Below are 15,422 nucleotides of genomic sequence, written 5' to 3'. Positions count from 1 at the left end.
CAAAAGTATTTTCTAAATAAGAAATAATCAAAATCACATAATTGAAAAAAATTGTTCTATAAAAATTTGAAGTTTGATTCTATTATAAAGACTATACAATATGAAAAAATGCAATAACATTAAGTGAAAAAATTAGAACAAAAGATTTAAGACATCATAGTTATAACTATGTAAAAATGTGCACAGTTTGGATGGTAGGATCTAGGCTGAATTTTTACCTAACATTTTTCATTTATATATATACATATGCTTATCAATTTATTTCAAAAATGTTATTACATATAATACGCCAGAGACTATGGTAATCCTCCAATTTGCAAGATGAAAAATAGCTCTTATCCTCAAGGCATTCATTATGTTGTTTATAATGTTGTTTAAAAAATAAATAAAGCTCATGGTTAAATACATGGCAAAAAAAAAATAGCCTAAGATATATATAAAATTAAAGCTCCCTAATCTTTCATGGAACATACTTAGGAGAATAAGTTTTTTAAAAAAAGAAATATAACTGGATGTGGTGGCTCACGCCTGTAATCCCAACACTTCGGGAGGCCGAGGTGGGTGGATTGCCTGGTGAAACCCCATCTCTACCAAAAATACAAAAAATTAGCTGGACATGGTGGCATGCATCTGTGGTCCCAGATACTTGGAAGGCTGAGGTGGGAGGATCATTTGAGCCTGGGAGGCAGAGGTTGAAGCCTGGGTGATAGAGTGAGAACTCGTCTCAAAAAAGAAAGAAGGAAGGAAGGAAGGAAGGAAGGAAGGAAGGAAGGAAGGAACGAACGAAAGGAAAAAAAGGAAGAATTAAAACAAAAGAACTTAAAAATTTTTTAATCAAAAGACTAAACCAAAAAAACATGTATATTCAAAATCTTTCAGGTTCCTAATTCCAAAAGTCAATGAACATCTTTCTCTCCTCATGCCCCCTGTGCTCTTTATGGCTTCCAACCCCGCTAACTACTCCTGCCCTGGCTTTCCCTACCCTACTGTTAGTTTTTTATCTATGTTTCTGGCCAATTCCCCCTTCTCAATAACTTCCACTAGATCTTCCTTCTATACCAGTTCCAAAAAATGGCACTGAGTTTCATTCTCGACCATCTTCTTACTTATTCAACACAACCTTCCAGGATAAATCAATAAAATCCAGTTATCTATGGAGCACCTGCTCTATGCAAGGCACTGTGTGAAATGCTCATCCATACTCACGGCTTCAACCATCTCTTACATCCTAATAACTCCCAAACATTTCTCGACCTTGAATGACCAGGTCATATACCAAGAATTTATTTGGTATCTCCACCACAGTGACTCTGATGCATTTCAAATTCTGCATGCCAAAAACTAATTTCCACCATGCTTCTCTGTCTCATGCTCCTCAAGGTTAAATTCTCCATTCTTGTTGAAGACGTTACCATGCCCTCAGCTACCCAGGACTGAATCCTGAGCACTAGAATCTCTTTCTCTACACCCACCTTCTTCTTGACCTCTTACAGTCAATCACTAAATCTAACAAATGCATCCCAAATAGCTTTTAGATTTATCTTGGTTAGGAATCTCTTAATTCTTTCTCTGAATTTCCTCAGTAGTTTTCTAACTGGTCTCCCTATCTTCTTTTTACCCCACTAATGACACATCTTCTATACTTCAACCCAAGTGATTATTTTAAACTGCAATTTTAACAATCTCACTTCCACAATAATACTTTTGGTGGCCCCATGTTATTAGTATACACGACAAGTTCTTTAACACCGGGAAGACCCAAGTCCTTCCCCATTTGCGTTCCGCCTACCTGCTCAACTTCCTAGCTCCCCACTCTCAATCTAAATTCCAGCTCAGGATTTTCTCCCTTCTTCAGGACTTAGCAGATCGTGATGCATCTGGCTAAAGCACCCTTCCCTTGCTATCAGAGGCCACACTAGCCCACATGGTGCCTGTGTGCCAATTAGGAAGAGGCACTACCTCTGAGCAGGTGCTGCAGTTGCTGGCTGGCCAGATGGGTGAACAGCACTTTCACACAAAGAAACAAATGCCTCCTGGTGAACAGAAAGAACGTAAACCTGGTATCAGCTCCACTTGTTTCCTGGCCCAGCCACCTGAGAGCAGCCTCTTGAAGCAGCTCTACATCATTAATGGCATTCTTCATTCATTTCTCTCAGTCAAAAAGTCTTGGAGAATCTGAAAGCTGAGGTGGCATGGCAGCACCAGCTCCAGGAGGTCATGTCAGTTGTACGGTGTACAACTTACACAGTCTTCATGGCAGTCCTGCTATATAGCGTCCTCTGCTTATAATGCATATGCTTTTCTATCCAGGTTGAGTTTACTGCCCCTCCAATGTGCTCCCATAGCTCTTTGAACACATCACTAATCATAATGTTTATTCCATTCTATCATAATTCACTTTTGATTTATGTGAGTCTCCACTGAAATGCATGATCTTTAAGAAAAATAGCAGGGTTTCCAAATACCATATGTTTTCCCATAAGTGGGAGCTAAATATTGCATAGACATGGATGTAAAGATGAGAACAAAAGACACTGGGGACTACAAGAGGGGAAAGGGAGGGAGAAAAGGGTTGAAGAAGCCACCTATTGGGTGCTATGCTCAACTCCTGGGTGATGGGTTCATTTGTACCCCTAACTTCAGCATCATGCAACACACCCATGTAACAAACCTGCACACGTACCCACTGAATCTAAAATAAAAGTTGAAATTTTAAAAAACTATAACAGGCTGGGTGCAGTGGCTCATACCTGTAATCCCAGCACTTTGGGAAGCCAAGGCAGGCAGATCACTTGAGGCCAGGAATTCGAGACCAGCCTGTACGACATGGTGAAAGCCCATCTCTACTAAAAATACAAAAATTAGCCAGGTGTGCTAGCACATGCCTATAATCTCAGCTACTCGGGAAGCTGAGGCAGGAGAATCGCCAAAACCTGGGAGGTAGAAGCTGCAGTGAGCCGAGATTATGCCACTGCACTCCAGCCTGAGATTGTGCCACTGCATTCCAGAGCAAGACTCTGTCTCAAAACAAAAAAAAAAAAACAAAAATGAAAAATAAAATTAAAAATTAAAAAACTATAGCAGGGTTTTTACTCAAACTTTTCCCAAACAGCAATTTCTAAGCTAATGCTGGTCAGTGGCATCATTGCCACTAGTCCATAGATTAAAATGAAGACCATGTTTAGAGTTTTCCAACATATTTAAATTTCTTCTATAGAAAAGCTGTTCTTAGTTTTGGATTTGATTCTTCTGACTTTTTAACATTTTAATACTACACTAATAACATTATTTACTGTATGAAAAGAGGATGATGAAAGCTCTTTTATCATGTTAGGTTGTTGTTTAAGTTCCTGACCTGGCAAAATAAAATGTTGATAAAACAATGCCAGTTCCTCAAATTTAGTTGGTTATTTTATGTATTTTCTCATATGTATAATTGATCATAGGGTAAACCACTGCTTTAAAATAAAGACTGGCTCCCTGTGAGCCCATCAATCAGGCCCTGCACCTGTTTAACCAAGTGTAGGGAGCAGTGCACGTGGAGATCTGAGCCTGCCTGCGCCTCCTTGCCCGCCTCCACTACATCATGGGCAAGTACGCAGAGGCCCTGAGAAGCCAGCAGAAGGCAGTGCTGATGAGCGTGCGGGTGATGGGCATCGAGCACCCCAACACCATCCAGGAAAACATGCACCTGGCCCTGCACTGCTTCACCAGCAGGCAGCTGTCCCTGGCCCTCAGCCTGCTGCAGGGCGCCCACTACCTCATGCGCTGGTGCTTGGGGAAGACACCCCGAGGTGGCGTGCTGGACAACATCAGGCGGGTGCTGCACAGGGTGATGGAGTACGACCTGTCGCTGTGCTTCCTGGACAACGCGCTGGCCGTCAGCACCAAGTACCAAGGGCCCAAAGCTCTCAAGGTGGCCCTTGGCCACCACCTCATCACCTCGGTCTATGAGAGCAAAGCTGAGTTTCCGGTCGGCCCTGCAGCACCAGAAGGAAGGGCTGGCTGCACACCCTCTGTAAGACCCAGCTGGGCGAGGACCAGGAGAAGACCAAGGAGAGCTCTGAGTACCTCAAGTGCCTGACCCAGCTGGCCGTGGCCCTGCGGCGCGCCATGCATGAGATCTACCGCAACGGCTCCAGCAACAACATCCCGCCCCTCAACTTCACAGCCCCCAGCATGGCCAGCGTCTTGGAGCAGTTCAAAGGCATCAATGGCATCCTCTTCATTCCTCTCAGCCAAAAAGACTTGGAGAGTCTGAAAGCCGAGGTGGCGCAGTGACACCAGCTCCAGAAGGCCAGCAGAAACAGGGATGAGGCCAAGGAGCCCAAGGCCACCGAGCCCGAGCCAGCGGGGGCACCAGAGGACCTGGGTTCCCAGCCCCGGGCTGCCAATGACCCTTCTTCCCCGAACTTGCAGGGATAGAGAGGGACAGGCAGATGGACAGTCAGTCAGTGGCCTCACTCACCAGGGATCCAGACTCTAGGAGAAAGGAGCATACCTGCCATGGGAAGAGGAAGCAAGGCCCTCTTCTTCCATGTTTCACCCTCACTGCACCCCCAGCAGAGCATCCTCCTGGGACCCTGGCCTGGCCTGTCTGCTCTCCAAAAGATGTTTTTGCACTGGTTCAATGAATATATGATGCAGAGCCCCTCCCCCACAAAAAAAGACTGGCTCCCTAATCGTTATGTCCCTAGCATAACAGAGTAGGCTCTCCATAAACGTTGGTTGAACTCATTGCTTTGTTGGTCAAGACACTGTAAATATTTCAGACAGAGTCATTTAGGTTACTTTCATTGTTCGTTTTGCTTATTTTTTTTTTCAAAGTAAATGTACATAGCCACACAAAGGAGCAAACCAAACAAAACCTTAAAGACTATATAAGCCCACCCTTTGAAACACTATAATCATATTTTGTCAGAAATAGACATTAGTTATGGATACTTCAAGGTGCATACTAACCCAAGCTATCTTCTAGAACATATGGAATGGTATGAGGCCATCTATACTTTTCTCCAATGATGGAATTTCTAATTTGTGCCTGTCAAAAATAAATGCAAAAGGGCTAGTTAAACAAATAAGGCAAACACTTAGGAAACCTGTAGTTAATCTAGAAATAAATGAAGTTTAAAGCTCTCCCAGTTCGCACAAACAAATTGTGTGTGTGTGTGTGTGTGTGTGTGTAGCCCTACTTTTATCATAATATAACAAAGTTTCTAGGAAGAAATTACTAATTTCTATCATTTTGTTAATACAGTTGAAGAAGGAATAATGCAAAAAATAACTGTTGGAAAACTGAACTACAAATATTGGTAGATTTATAGGTTAGTTTCCTACACTTAAAGATTAAAAATTTGCAAGAAAACAGTGATAGCAAGACCTTGATAATCTGGATCTCACAATATCAGAAAAAGTCACACATGAGCTGGGCCAAAGTTTTCAAAAATTTTTAAAGGATTTTAAACTGTATAATAGAAAATGAGTAATATTTTACTAATGTATTTACTCAGTCCACAAATTGAATATTGTCCTAGAGAATAGAGATTCCTTGGTAATAAAGGTCTCTGGCTTCATGGAGCTTATATCTAGTGGAGGACAGAAAGAGTATGTAAAAAAAAAAATGTTTAAGCAGGATGAATGCAATAGGGAGGAAATTAGAAAGAGAGATGTGAACAAGGGCACAGGGATGACGGAGTACATGAGATGGAGTGATCAGGACAGTCGTCTATGAAGGGATGATATTTAAGGGGAAATAGGGATCGCAAGACAGAGCCAGCATTGAAAGGGGTCCTGGGAAGGTGGTTTCAGGCAGAGGGAACATTAGTTGTTCTTGTTCTGAGGTGGGAATATGCCTGGGATGTTTTGAATATGTGTTGAGACCAGTAGCCTGATGAGTCTAAGAGAGAACGTGGATGAGATAAGAGGAGAGGAAAAGAGAGGAGAGGGGAGGGAAGAGGGGAGGACAGAAGCAGGAGCTAAGGCATGCTAGGCTTAGACAGCTGGGACTAAATCGGGAGATGATTCTAAACCCATAGGCAACTATGGAAGAGTTTCAAGCCAGGAGGTGAAATGAAGTCACTGCCTGTTTGAAAAATGACTTTGCTGTGAGAGATAAGGACAAGTAACAGGGTGGAAAAGATTATAGGGGAACAATATCTGAAATAGAAAGACAAATTAGGAGGCTAATGGAAAAAGCCAGGCAAGAGATGATGGGGCCTGAATTAGAGTGATGGAGAAAAGTGGACGATTTGCAGTGTATGTTAGAGCTAGAAATGATAGAACTTGCTGACGGGCTGGATGGGGAGTGAAGGAGAGAGGAGAAGCAAAGGTGGCGCTCAAGGTTTTTATGTGTTCAGTTGAGTAGAGTCAGGTTGTGAGGATGACTTTATGAAGACAGGAGAGTGGGGAGGAACAGTTTGGGGGGAAGGTCAGAGTTCACCTGATCAGAGGACACCTTAGGTTTGAGACGTCTTGTAGACATTCAAGTGGAGCTGGCAAATTAGTGCTTGGATAGACCAGTCTGGAGCTCAGGGAAAGGAGAGGACCAGAGATATGCCTTTGGATTCATTGGCATGGAGATGACATTTGAATCCCTGGACGAAGGTGAGATCAAGAGAGAGCACAGATAGAAGAGTAGGCTCAGGACTAAGCCTGGGAGACTGCAGCTCTGTTTCCTGGGGGTGGGAGGACTGTGAGGGATGTTGGTGCTTACGATATAGGAAGTAAGGGAGTGACTTAGGACTGTGTTGGAAGGAAGAGCAGAATTTTACAGGAAAAGATCTACTGGGTAATTTCTAGGCCACATGGTGTATATATTTTAAACTATGCTAGCTCTTCTCAAATTGCCTTCTTTCTTTTTTTCAAATTTATACACTCTCCAGTATAATAACATGTTCTAAACACATTCCTAAACAAGCATCCTAGTTTCTCTCTATCATCACCAAAAGGGATAGTAAGTAGTAAGTTTCTTAATATTTTTCAATCTAGTGGGCAATAAACTATATCTTGTCTTTTGAAAAATAGTGCTTATTTCCATGCTGTGAGAGAACACTGAAAAAAACAGTGCTTTCATGATAGTGAACTTTTTAGTCCCCCTAATCTACCTGCAAGGTTCTTGTGTTTATCTGTGTGGCATGATGACTTAGATGAGAATCAGCACTCTTTATGAATAGGTTTGGGAGGGTCTTAACTTGGCAACATTATTTTTAGCTAAGGCCAGGGTAGAAGTCACAAAATCTATTTATTGGGGTAAAAAGCCTGATTCATTGAAGATGTTTACAAATTCAGTTTAATTTTGCCTCCACTAGATTGAATCTGTGAGGTCCTATTTTAAAATCAAATGTCATATTGCTCCAATAATGAAAATCAATCAAATCAATAAGACTAAGACATATGTAATGAGTTATGGTGGCTTGAACCACACAGAAATATGAGTAATGAAAGATGAAGACACAATTATATGCATTTCTTTGAGTATAATATATTCATTGAATAAATGTGTCACCATGATTCTGCACCCTTAGAGATAGTTAGGCTTAACAAAGTTCATGCTGTCTAATCTTTCTCAGTTACTCTGAATTTGGCTTGCAGTGGTTAATGGAAGATTCTTCCTTATACTGTTTCAACTCACCCTATCAAGTCTGATGTCACCCTCAAAAAGATCCAGTCCCAAACCTAAGAGTAAAGATAAAAATTCATGTTAGCAAATTGGATTCAAACTCTCTACTTAAGAGATTATGTAAAAAAAATCCACAAACCTTCATTGATATCAAATATGTCCTGGTCCATTCCGCCATCTACATCTTTGATTAAAACAACAACAACAAAAAATTGAACATTATGTTTATAAAAGGAGAAAACCTTTATCATTTATATAATCAGAACTAAGCAAGTTTCTTTTGGCCTCAGGTGACTACTAGATTCAGACTCAACATACATTGATTGATTGATTGATTGATTAAGAATCTCCTATGAGCCAGGTTGGGCTCTAAAGAGCTTTTATGTATGTATTCTGTCCTATCGACATTCCTTGAATGTCAAATGACTTCGGGAATAAGAAATTGGTTGCTCCATATATTATTAAGCATAATTTGAAAGACTAGAAGACTAGATTAAATAGCAAACAAATGATTAAATTTGGTCAAACTAGCCCAATCTACTCATACATGTATATCACTTGCTAGTAGTATACCTTGGAACTTTCAAGCAAAATTCTTAAGTTAAACTTGAATTACTATTTTAAGTTGTAAAGGTGTATATAATATGGCCAAATCTCCGAGTATGCAAGTGAATACTGAGTAGACTGTTATTATTAGGTCCATCTGATTTGACACAAAATAACAAAAACAATAATAGCAAGCATTTATGGGATGTCTATGTGTCAGTCACTGTGCTTGGCCTTTCCTATACCATCTATTTCTTTGCTGGGCATATGAAGCCTGGAACATGGACAATAAAATGTCCCTCCATAAATCAAAAGAATCCAGTATTAGATCAAAGTTCAATGCAATTATGCATCAATTATGCATATGTAATTATGTATGATGTTTAGCATTAAATATGTCCTAGGTTCTCTATAACCTAGAACAAAACTCAAAATAGACTCACCAAAGTTTTCTGGAGTTGCCTGGGAAATAAACACATAAACAAAACATATTATTATAATGCCCAGGAATGGTCTTCTTGGATTCAGTTTATATCTAACCATTTGTTGTTTGTTTGTTTTGTCATTAATATTATGGATTACTTCCTGACATGTATTTAGGATGGCTAAATTGAAGTTTAAGATGACTTTTTGACCAAAGGGTCTTCTCATTTCATATGGAAAATGAAACTGCCTGTTAAATCAATTTGAAGGTGAAGGAAACAAGAAACCAACTTCAAAAATTGGGGGGGAAAAGGCAGAACATAAGACTCTAGCTCTCAAATAAGTGCTCACTTTACACACGATTTTCTAAAGCATTCATGGAGCAATGTTTGAAAAACCAAATAATTTATTCTCAATGTTGAAATAATACTGTAATTTATAACAATTCTTTAAAAAGAAATGTTATTCAAGACTCATTAATCAAGTTATTTTGCATTCATGTTTCTCCCAGAATAATTCTGCCTTCAAAGACAATACAAATATTTAAGAAAAACAATGGGTACATTTTGTGATTAATTTTTTTTCTGAAAATAGATTCTCCACAAATGGTCAATGAAACTCAGACTACATGTCCAAAGGAAAAAAAAAAAAAACAACTAAGTAAACCTGAGAAATGTCTTAGTGTGATTGAATTAAAAAGCTCATAGGACTGTCTGGGTTATGTTACCAGTTCTACTAACTAAGGGTAATTCAGTTCACCTTCCAGGTACTCAGACTATCCATAAGATATGGTCAGTACCTGCTTTGCATGGGTATTGTGAGGGTTACAGTATATAATGTGAAAGAAGGCTCATTGTAAGCTATAATAAATTGTCACAAAAGTGTAAAGTACAATTTTATTCAAATACAGCTTACATATCTAAATACTAGAATCATTTGGAGCGTTTAACAAAATGTGGGAATGAACTGGATGGATGGTTACCATCATTTTTGACATTAACAAGTGCTTTGCATGTTTCACACTATAACCACACACAGGCATACACTCATAGAGGAATGCCAGTGCACCTACAGAATAAAATTATCAAGGATTTATTCCTAATTACACTTTAACATGTATTCATCTGTATCTCTTGTTTGCAATGTTCTAGTTCCTATTCATAGAATATCACCCCAATATAATAATTGTTATTTTAAAATAACAACTGAAGGTTTTCCACTAGCCATTTGAAACTTCATTTAAAACCTTGGGTTGGTTTGTGATACAAACTACCTGATAGAAAAGATTAGTCCAAACTGTAGAAGGATGAGTCTAAACTGATGAAGAAGCATAAGAGAAATACCACGTTATAAAACTTTGTAAGTACTGACGGTGCCTGTGACACTCATTCATGTCTCAAGTTACTGTGCAGCAATCTGCATTTCATTCAGCAGTAAAAATGGAATGATTTTCAAAATACACATTTATAATCTCATCAAAAGAAAACTTGTTACACAATGATGAAACTGAAAGGAAAACATAACTTTATATCAATGTCTCTACTCTGGTGTGGCTATTTGTCACTCCCTACACACTGCCCACCCCTAATCTCCAAGAAGAAACACTCATTTGAGATCAACATTTCAAGATGTATAAAAAACAAACAAAAAAAAAACACTTGTTCTTTAACAATCAATATCAACTGCCCCAAAATTTTTAAATTATCTTCTATATACTGTTTCCTTACCAAGCCAGAAATCACGAGAAGAGCATCCAAGAACAGAAACCAAGACAGATTCCATAAATCCATGTTGTAGCTTCCAGTTGAAAGTAGCTAACTATGACATTCAGGGTTGAATTGACTTCTTTAAAGGCAAACATTATAATTTATAGCCTTTGATCTCAATGATCCATATTGCAGGTCAGCTTGATGCTGTAATAATACCTCCAATCAAGGGATGAAAGTCCAGTATTTTTAACACAGCTCTGCGGAGTTGGTTTGTTGGCTTTTTTTTTTTTTTCCTGTGTCAACAATTAAGTGCCTGGCTGAGACTTCTTAATGAATACATTCTCTAATGTATGTGTACTGGTCCTTAGACTAGTAAACACCACTTAAGCAAAAAATATATATATCAAATTAATTTTTAATCTTGATCTTATGAAACTCCTCCTCTCATATAGCCCCATGCTGCTTTAATATATCCAGTTATGTCCACTGCTTTTTATCATTCACTCATTTAATAAAAATTATTGAGTGCCTATAATTTATTGAGTTATAAAATCCATTAATGTGCTAGAAATCAGGCACACCGGTTATTCACATATAGAGTAGTAACATAGCAATGTATCTCATCCCTAAAAATTCCCATCAAGCAAACACTGGTGGGACATGGGTCATAAAAGTAGGAATGGTCACTGATTTTCTAATAAAATAATGTTCCCAATCCATCTCTTAATTCTTTCTCACTTTTTCCTTCTTTTCTTGGGATAATTTCTCTTTAGAAACAACCTGTTCTCTCAGTTCCCATGGCTTCATATTCAACTTACTTAAGATGCAGGATAATATTTTTTGAATACTAATTTTTGGCCATGGTGGCTCACATGTGTAATCCCAGCAGTTTGGGAGGTCAAGGTGGGTGGACCACCTGAGGTCGGGAGTTCAAGCCCAACCTGGCCAACACAGTGAAACCCCATCTCTACTAGAAATACAAAAATTAGCCAGGTGTGGTGGTGCATGTCTGTAATCCCAGCTACTTGAGAGGCTGAGGCAGGAGAATTACTTGAACCTGGGAGGCAGAGGTTGCGGTGAGCCGAGATCACACCACTGCACTCCAACCTGGGCAACAGAATGACACTCCATCTCAAAAAAAAAAAAAAAACCTAATTTTTTTCTAGTTTCCCCTTCCCCTCTCCAGCTTAGCCTTCACCCCATTTTGTGCTAATAGGAAGACTATCAAGAGACATGTAGCATAGACAAGGAGTTTGAGAGGTTGCTTCCTGAGTACAAGCCAGCACTTCCCACCCTATGAGGGTAGGATGAGAATTAAATGGGAAAACTGAAAACTGTAGTTATAGTCAGTTCTTCACTTGATCCCTGAGATCCCCTAGATATATTATAGGATCCAAAATCAAATGGTCCTGTTTCTTGGCTAGAGCTACAAGGAAGCAAAGGGACTCTACAGAAGAAGGCACATCTTGGGAAGAGGAGAATAACTCCTGGGGCCAAGGGAAGCATAGAAGTATCAGAAAAAGCTGTCATGCCTGAAGAGCCATGTGGATAGGAATAAGGATGTCTCCATTGCAGGCTGCACAGAATCACAAATAAGGACCAGACAGAGGGACTGATATTTTAGAGGATGCCTGTGAGGATAGATGACATCAGGGATCATAAGGGACCTTCCCAATGCATTGGGACTGTTAATTAAGGTTAGGCACAAGCCTAAAGGTAAAATGTGAATCCTGAATTAGCCGCAATTAAATTTTTGACATCTATGTGAATGGGAACCTAAAATATCAATTATTATAACAGACCAATGGAACAGAGTAGAGAACCCAGAGAAACCAGATGCCAAGAACTTACACTGGGGAAAGGACAGTCTCTTAATAAATGGCGCTGAGAAACTGGATATCCATATACGGAAGAATAAAAATAGATCTCTGTCTTTCATCATATACAAAAATCAACCCAAAATGGATTAAAGATTTAAATGTGGCTGGGCACGGTGGCTCACACCTGGAATCCCAGCACTTTGGGAGGCCGAGGCAAGCGGATCACAAGGTCAGGAGTTCGCAACCAGCCTGGCCAACATGGTGAAACCCTGTCTGTACTACAAATACAAAAATAAGCTGGGCATGGTGGTGCACTGCACTGGTGCATAGCTGTAATCCCAGCTACTCTGGAGGCCGAGGCTGGAGAATTGCTGGAATCCAGGAGGCGGAGGTTGCAGTGAGCCGAGATCGCACCACTGCACTCCAGCCTGGGTGGCAGAGAAAGACTCTGTCTCCAAAAAAAAAAAAAAAACCCAACAAAGAAACAAACAAACAAAAAAAGATTTAAATGTAAGACCTGAAACTATAAAACTACTCAAGGAAAACATGGTAGAAATGCTCTAGGATATTGGTCTGGGCAAAGATTTTTGGGGGGTAAGACCTCAAAGATACAAGCAACCAAAGCAAAAACAGACAAATGGGATTACATTAAGCTAAAAAGCTTCTACACAACAAAGGAAACACTCAACAAAGTGAGGAAACAACTCACAGAGTGGGAGAAAATGTTTGCAAACTATCCATCTGACAAGGAATTAATAACCAAGATATATAAAGAACTAAAACAACTCAATACCAAAAAAAACAAATAATCTGATTTTAAAATGAGCAAAAGACCTGAACAGATATTTCTCAAAAAAGACAAACAAATTGCCAATAGCTATATGAAGAAATGCTCAGCACCACTAATCATCGGGGAAATGCAGATCAAAACCACAATAAGATATCATCTTACCTGAGTTAGAATGGCTATTATAAAAGAAAAAAAACGAAAGATAACAAATTCTGGAAAGGTTGTGTTGAAACAGGAAGACTTGTACACTGTGAAAATGTAAAGTAGTAGAGATATTATGGAAAACAGTATAGAGGTTCCTCAAAAAACTAAAAATAGGACTCCCATATGATCCAGCAATTCCATTGCTGAGGATATATCCAAAAGAAGGGAAATCAGTAAATTGAAGAGATATCTGCACTCACACGTTTATTGCAGCACTATTTGTAATACCCAAGATATAGAATCAACCTAAGTATTTGTCAACATATAAATGGATAAAGAACATGTGGTCTATATACACAATAGAATATTACTCAGCCATAAAAAAGAAATCTGACACTTTCAGCAACATGAATGGAACTGGAGGTCATTATAAGTGAAATAATCCAGGCACAGAAAAACAAATATCGAATGTTCTTACTCATATCTGGAAGCTAAAAAAAAATTTATCTCATGGAGGTAGAAAGTAGATTGGTAGTTACCAGAGGCTAGGAAGGGAAGGGAAGGGAGGAGGAGATGAAAAGAAGTTGGTTAAGGGGTACAAAAGTATAGTTAGATAAAATAAATGATTTAGTATTTGATAGTACAGTAGGTAAATTATAGCTAACAATTTATTATATATTTTTAAATAGCAAGAAAAGATTACTTGAAATGTTCCCAACACAAAGAAAAGATAAATGTTTGAGTTGATGGATACCCTAATCACCCTAATTTGATTATTATACATTGTATATAGGTATCAGATCATCATATGTACTCCCAAAATATAAACAATTATATATAAATAAAAATTTTAAAAGAAAAAGAAAAAAGTATGATTATAGAAAAATAAAGACAGTCTGGGTACAATGGCTCAAGTCTGCAATCTCAGCACTTTGGGAGGCCAAGGTGGGGCAGATCACCTGAGGTCGGGAGTTCAAGACCAACCTGGCCAACATGGCGAAACCCCGTCTCTATTAAAAATACAAAAATTAGCTGGGAGTGATGGTGGGCACCTGTAATCCCGCTACTTGGGAGGCTGAGGCAGGAGAATTGCTCGAACCCGGGAGGCAGGGATTGCAGTGAGCTGAGATCGCACCATTGTACTCGAGACTGGCTGAAAAGAGTGAAACTCTGTCTCAAAAAAAAAAAAGAAAAGGAAAGACATTTATTAAGCACAGCTGTTTCTATGAGCCAAGATTTGTAACTGAAACACCTGAGTGAATTCTCTGTGTTGCTACAAGCAGTTCATATTTGAAGTTAGGAAAAGTGGAAGCAGGAAGAACAGGAAGCAATCATTCCCAGGATGTTGGAGTCTGTTTTGAATCCTAATTACAGGACATGGGCAGAGCCTCACTAGGAATCTCATGGAAGTCATTGAGGCATGGCTGAAATCCAATTTCCAAAAAATGTATTTTGCCTACAATAAATAGATATCTTTTACAGTTTGTTCTTTTCTAAGGTTGTCAATGAAGCTCTACTGCAGAAGCTACACTTGGCTGGTCTAACATACCTCCAGCTTTCATCACTTGTATCCTGCCCCTAGAAAGCCTTTACAAGCTTCATCATGGCATTAGGAATCTGATCTCAGGAACCTTTCTGCCTTTGGTCATTGGTCCACCTCTGGTGTTCATTTTTCCCCAGGCAATAACATCAACAGGAAACCCAATGCTGAGATGATAGGATTTATATCCTGTTCTGAGATCCCCTGGCACCATCAGGAAAGCATATTTCTCTTAGGAATGTGATTCTTAAAAAGTTTTTGTAAGTTATGTCATAAGTTTCCCAATACTAGCTCTTTATGAAATCTTACAAACATTTGCCTAACAGATTAGAAAGTTATGTATTTATTTGAATTTCAATTAAATTAAATGGATTTAGGAAAAAGAAGAAAATGAAGATAGAGTAATTATAGAAGTCCCTGCGAAGCTGAGAACACAAATTCAATTGGAACTCAGCCAACTAAGGGGTGGAAGGGCTCATAAGACATCTTCCTAAGACATCTGCATTGCCTGGTATTGGACAGACTAAATCACATATTTCACACAGATCTTCCAAGTCACTCCCCCAAATTACCATCTTTTACCCCATTTTTCAAAATTGTAGTATGTTACTATATTAGTCAAAGTTTACCAAAGAAACAGAACCAATAGGATGTGTATATAGATAGATTGGATTGGCTCACATGATTGTGGAGGCTGGCAAGTCCAAAATCTGCAGGGTAGGCCAGCAGGCTAAAGACCCAGGCAGGAGTTGATGTTGCAGCTACAGTACCATGGCAGTTCGCTTCTTCTTCCTCTAAAGACCTAGAGGAAGAAAATGAAACTCTTCTCTCT

The 15,422-nt window shown here is 39.2% G+C and overlaps 1 protein-coding gene and 1 pseudogene across 4 annotated transcripts in view; one reads left to right on the top strand and one right to left on the bottom strand.

Annotated features, from left to right (window-relative positions):
- The window catches only part of MEP1B (meprin A subunit beta), a 30,366-nt gene extending 19,957 nt beyond the window's left edge, over positions 1-10,409 (bottom strand). For all 4 annotated transcript variants that reach the window (NM_005925.3, NM_001308171.2, XM_011526013.3 and 1 more), the window contains exons 1-5: positions 10,315-10,409; positions 8,608-8,626; positions 7,758-7,802; positions 7,631-7,674; positions 4,963-5,041 (exon numbers count right to left, since the gene is read on the bottom strand). In NM_005925.3, the coding sequence (NP_005916.2) occupies positions 4,963-5,041; positions 7,631-7,674; positions 7,758-7,802; positions 8,608-8,626; positions 10,315-10,377 (250 nt within the window). In that variant the 5' untranslated portion in view covers positions 10,378-10,409. The remainder of the gene's footprint in view (positions 1-4,962; positions 5,042-7,630; positions 7,675-7,757; positions 7,803-8,607; positions 8,627-10,314) is intronic.
- Positions 3,481-4,621, top strand: CLUHP6 (clustered mitochondria homolog pseudogene 6; annotated as a pseudogene).
- Positions 10,410-15,422: the final 5,013 nt, after the last annotated feature.

The sequence above is a fragment of the Homo sapiens genome, chromosome 18 (assembly GCF_000001405.40).
Source record: "Homo sapiens chromosome 18, GRCh38.p14 Primary Assembly".
NCBI lineage: Eukaryota > Metazoa > Chordata > Mammalia > Primates > Hominidae > Homo > Homo sapiens.
Note: the sequence above shows the minus strand (reverse complement) of the source record. Positions and strands in the feature narration are given on the sequence as shown.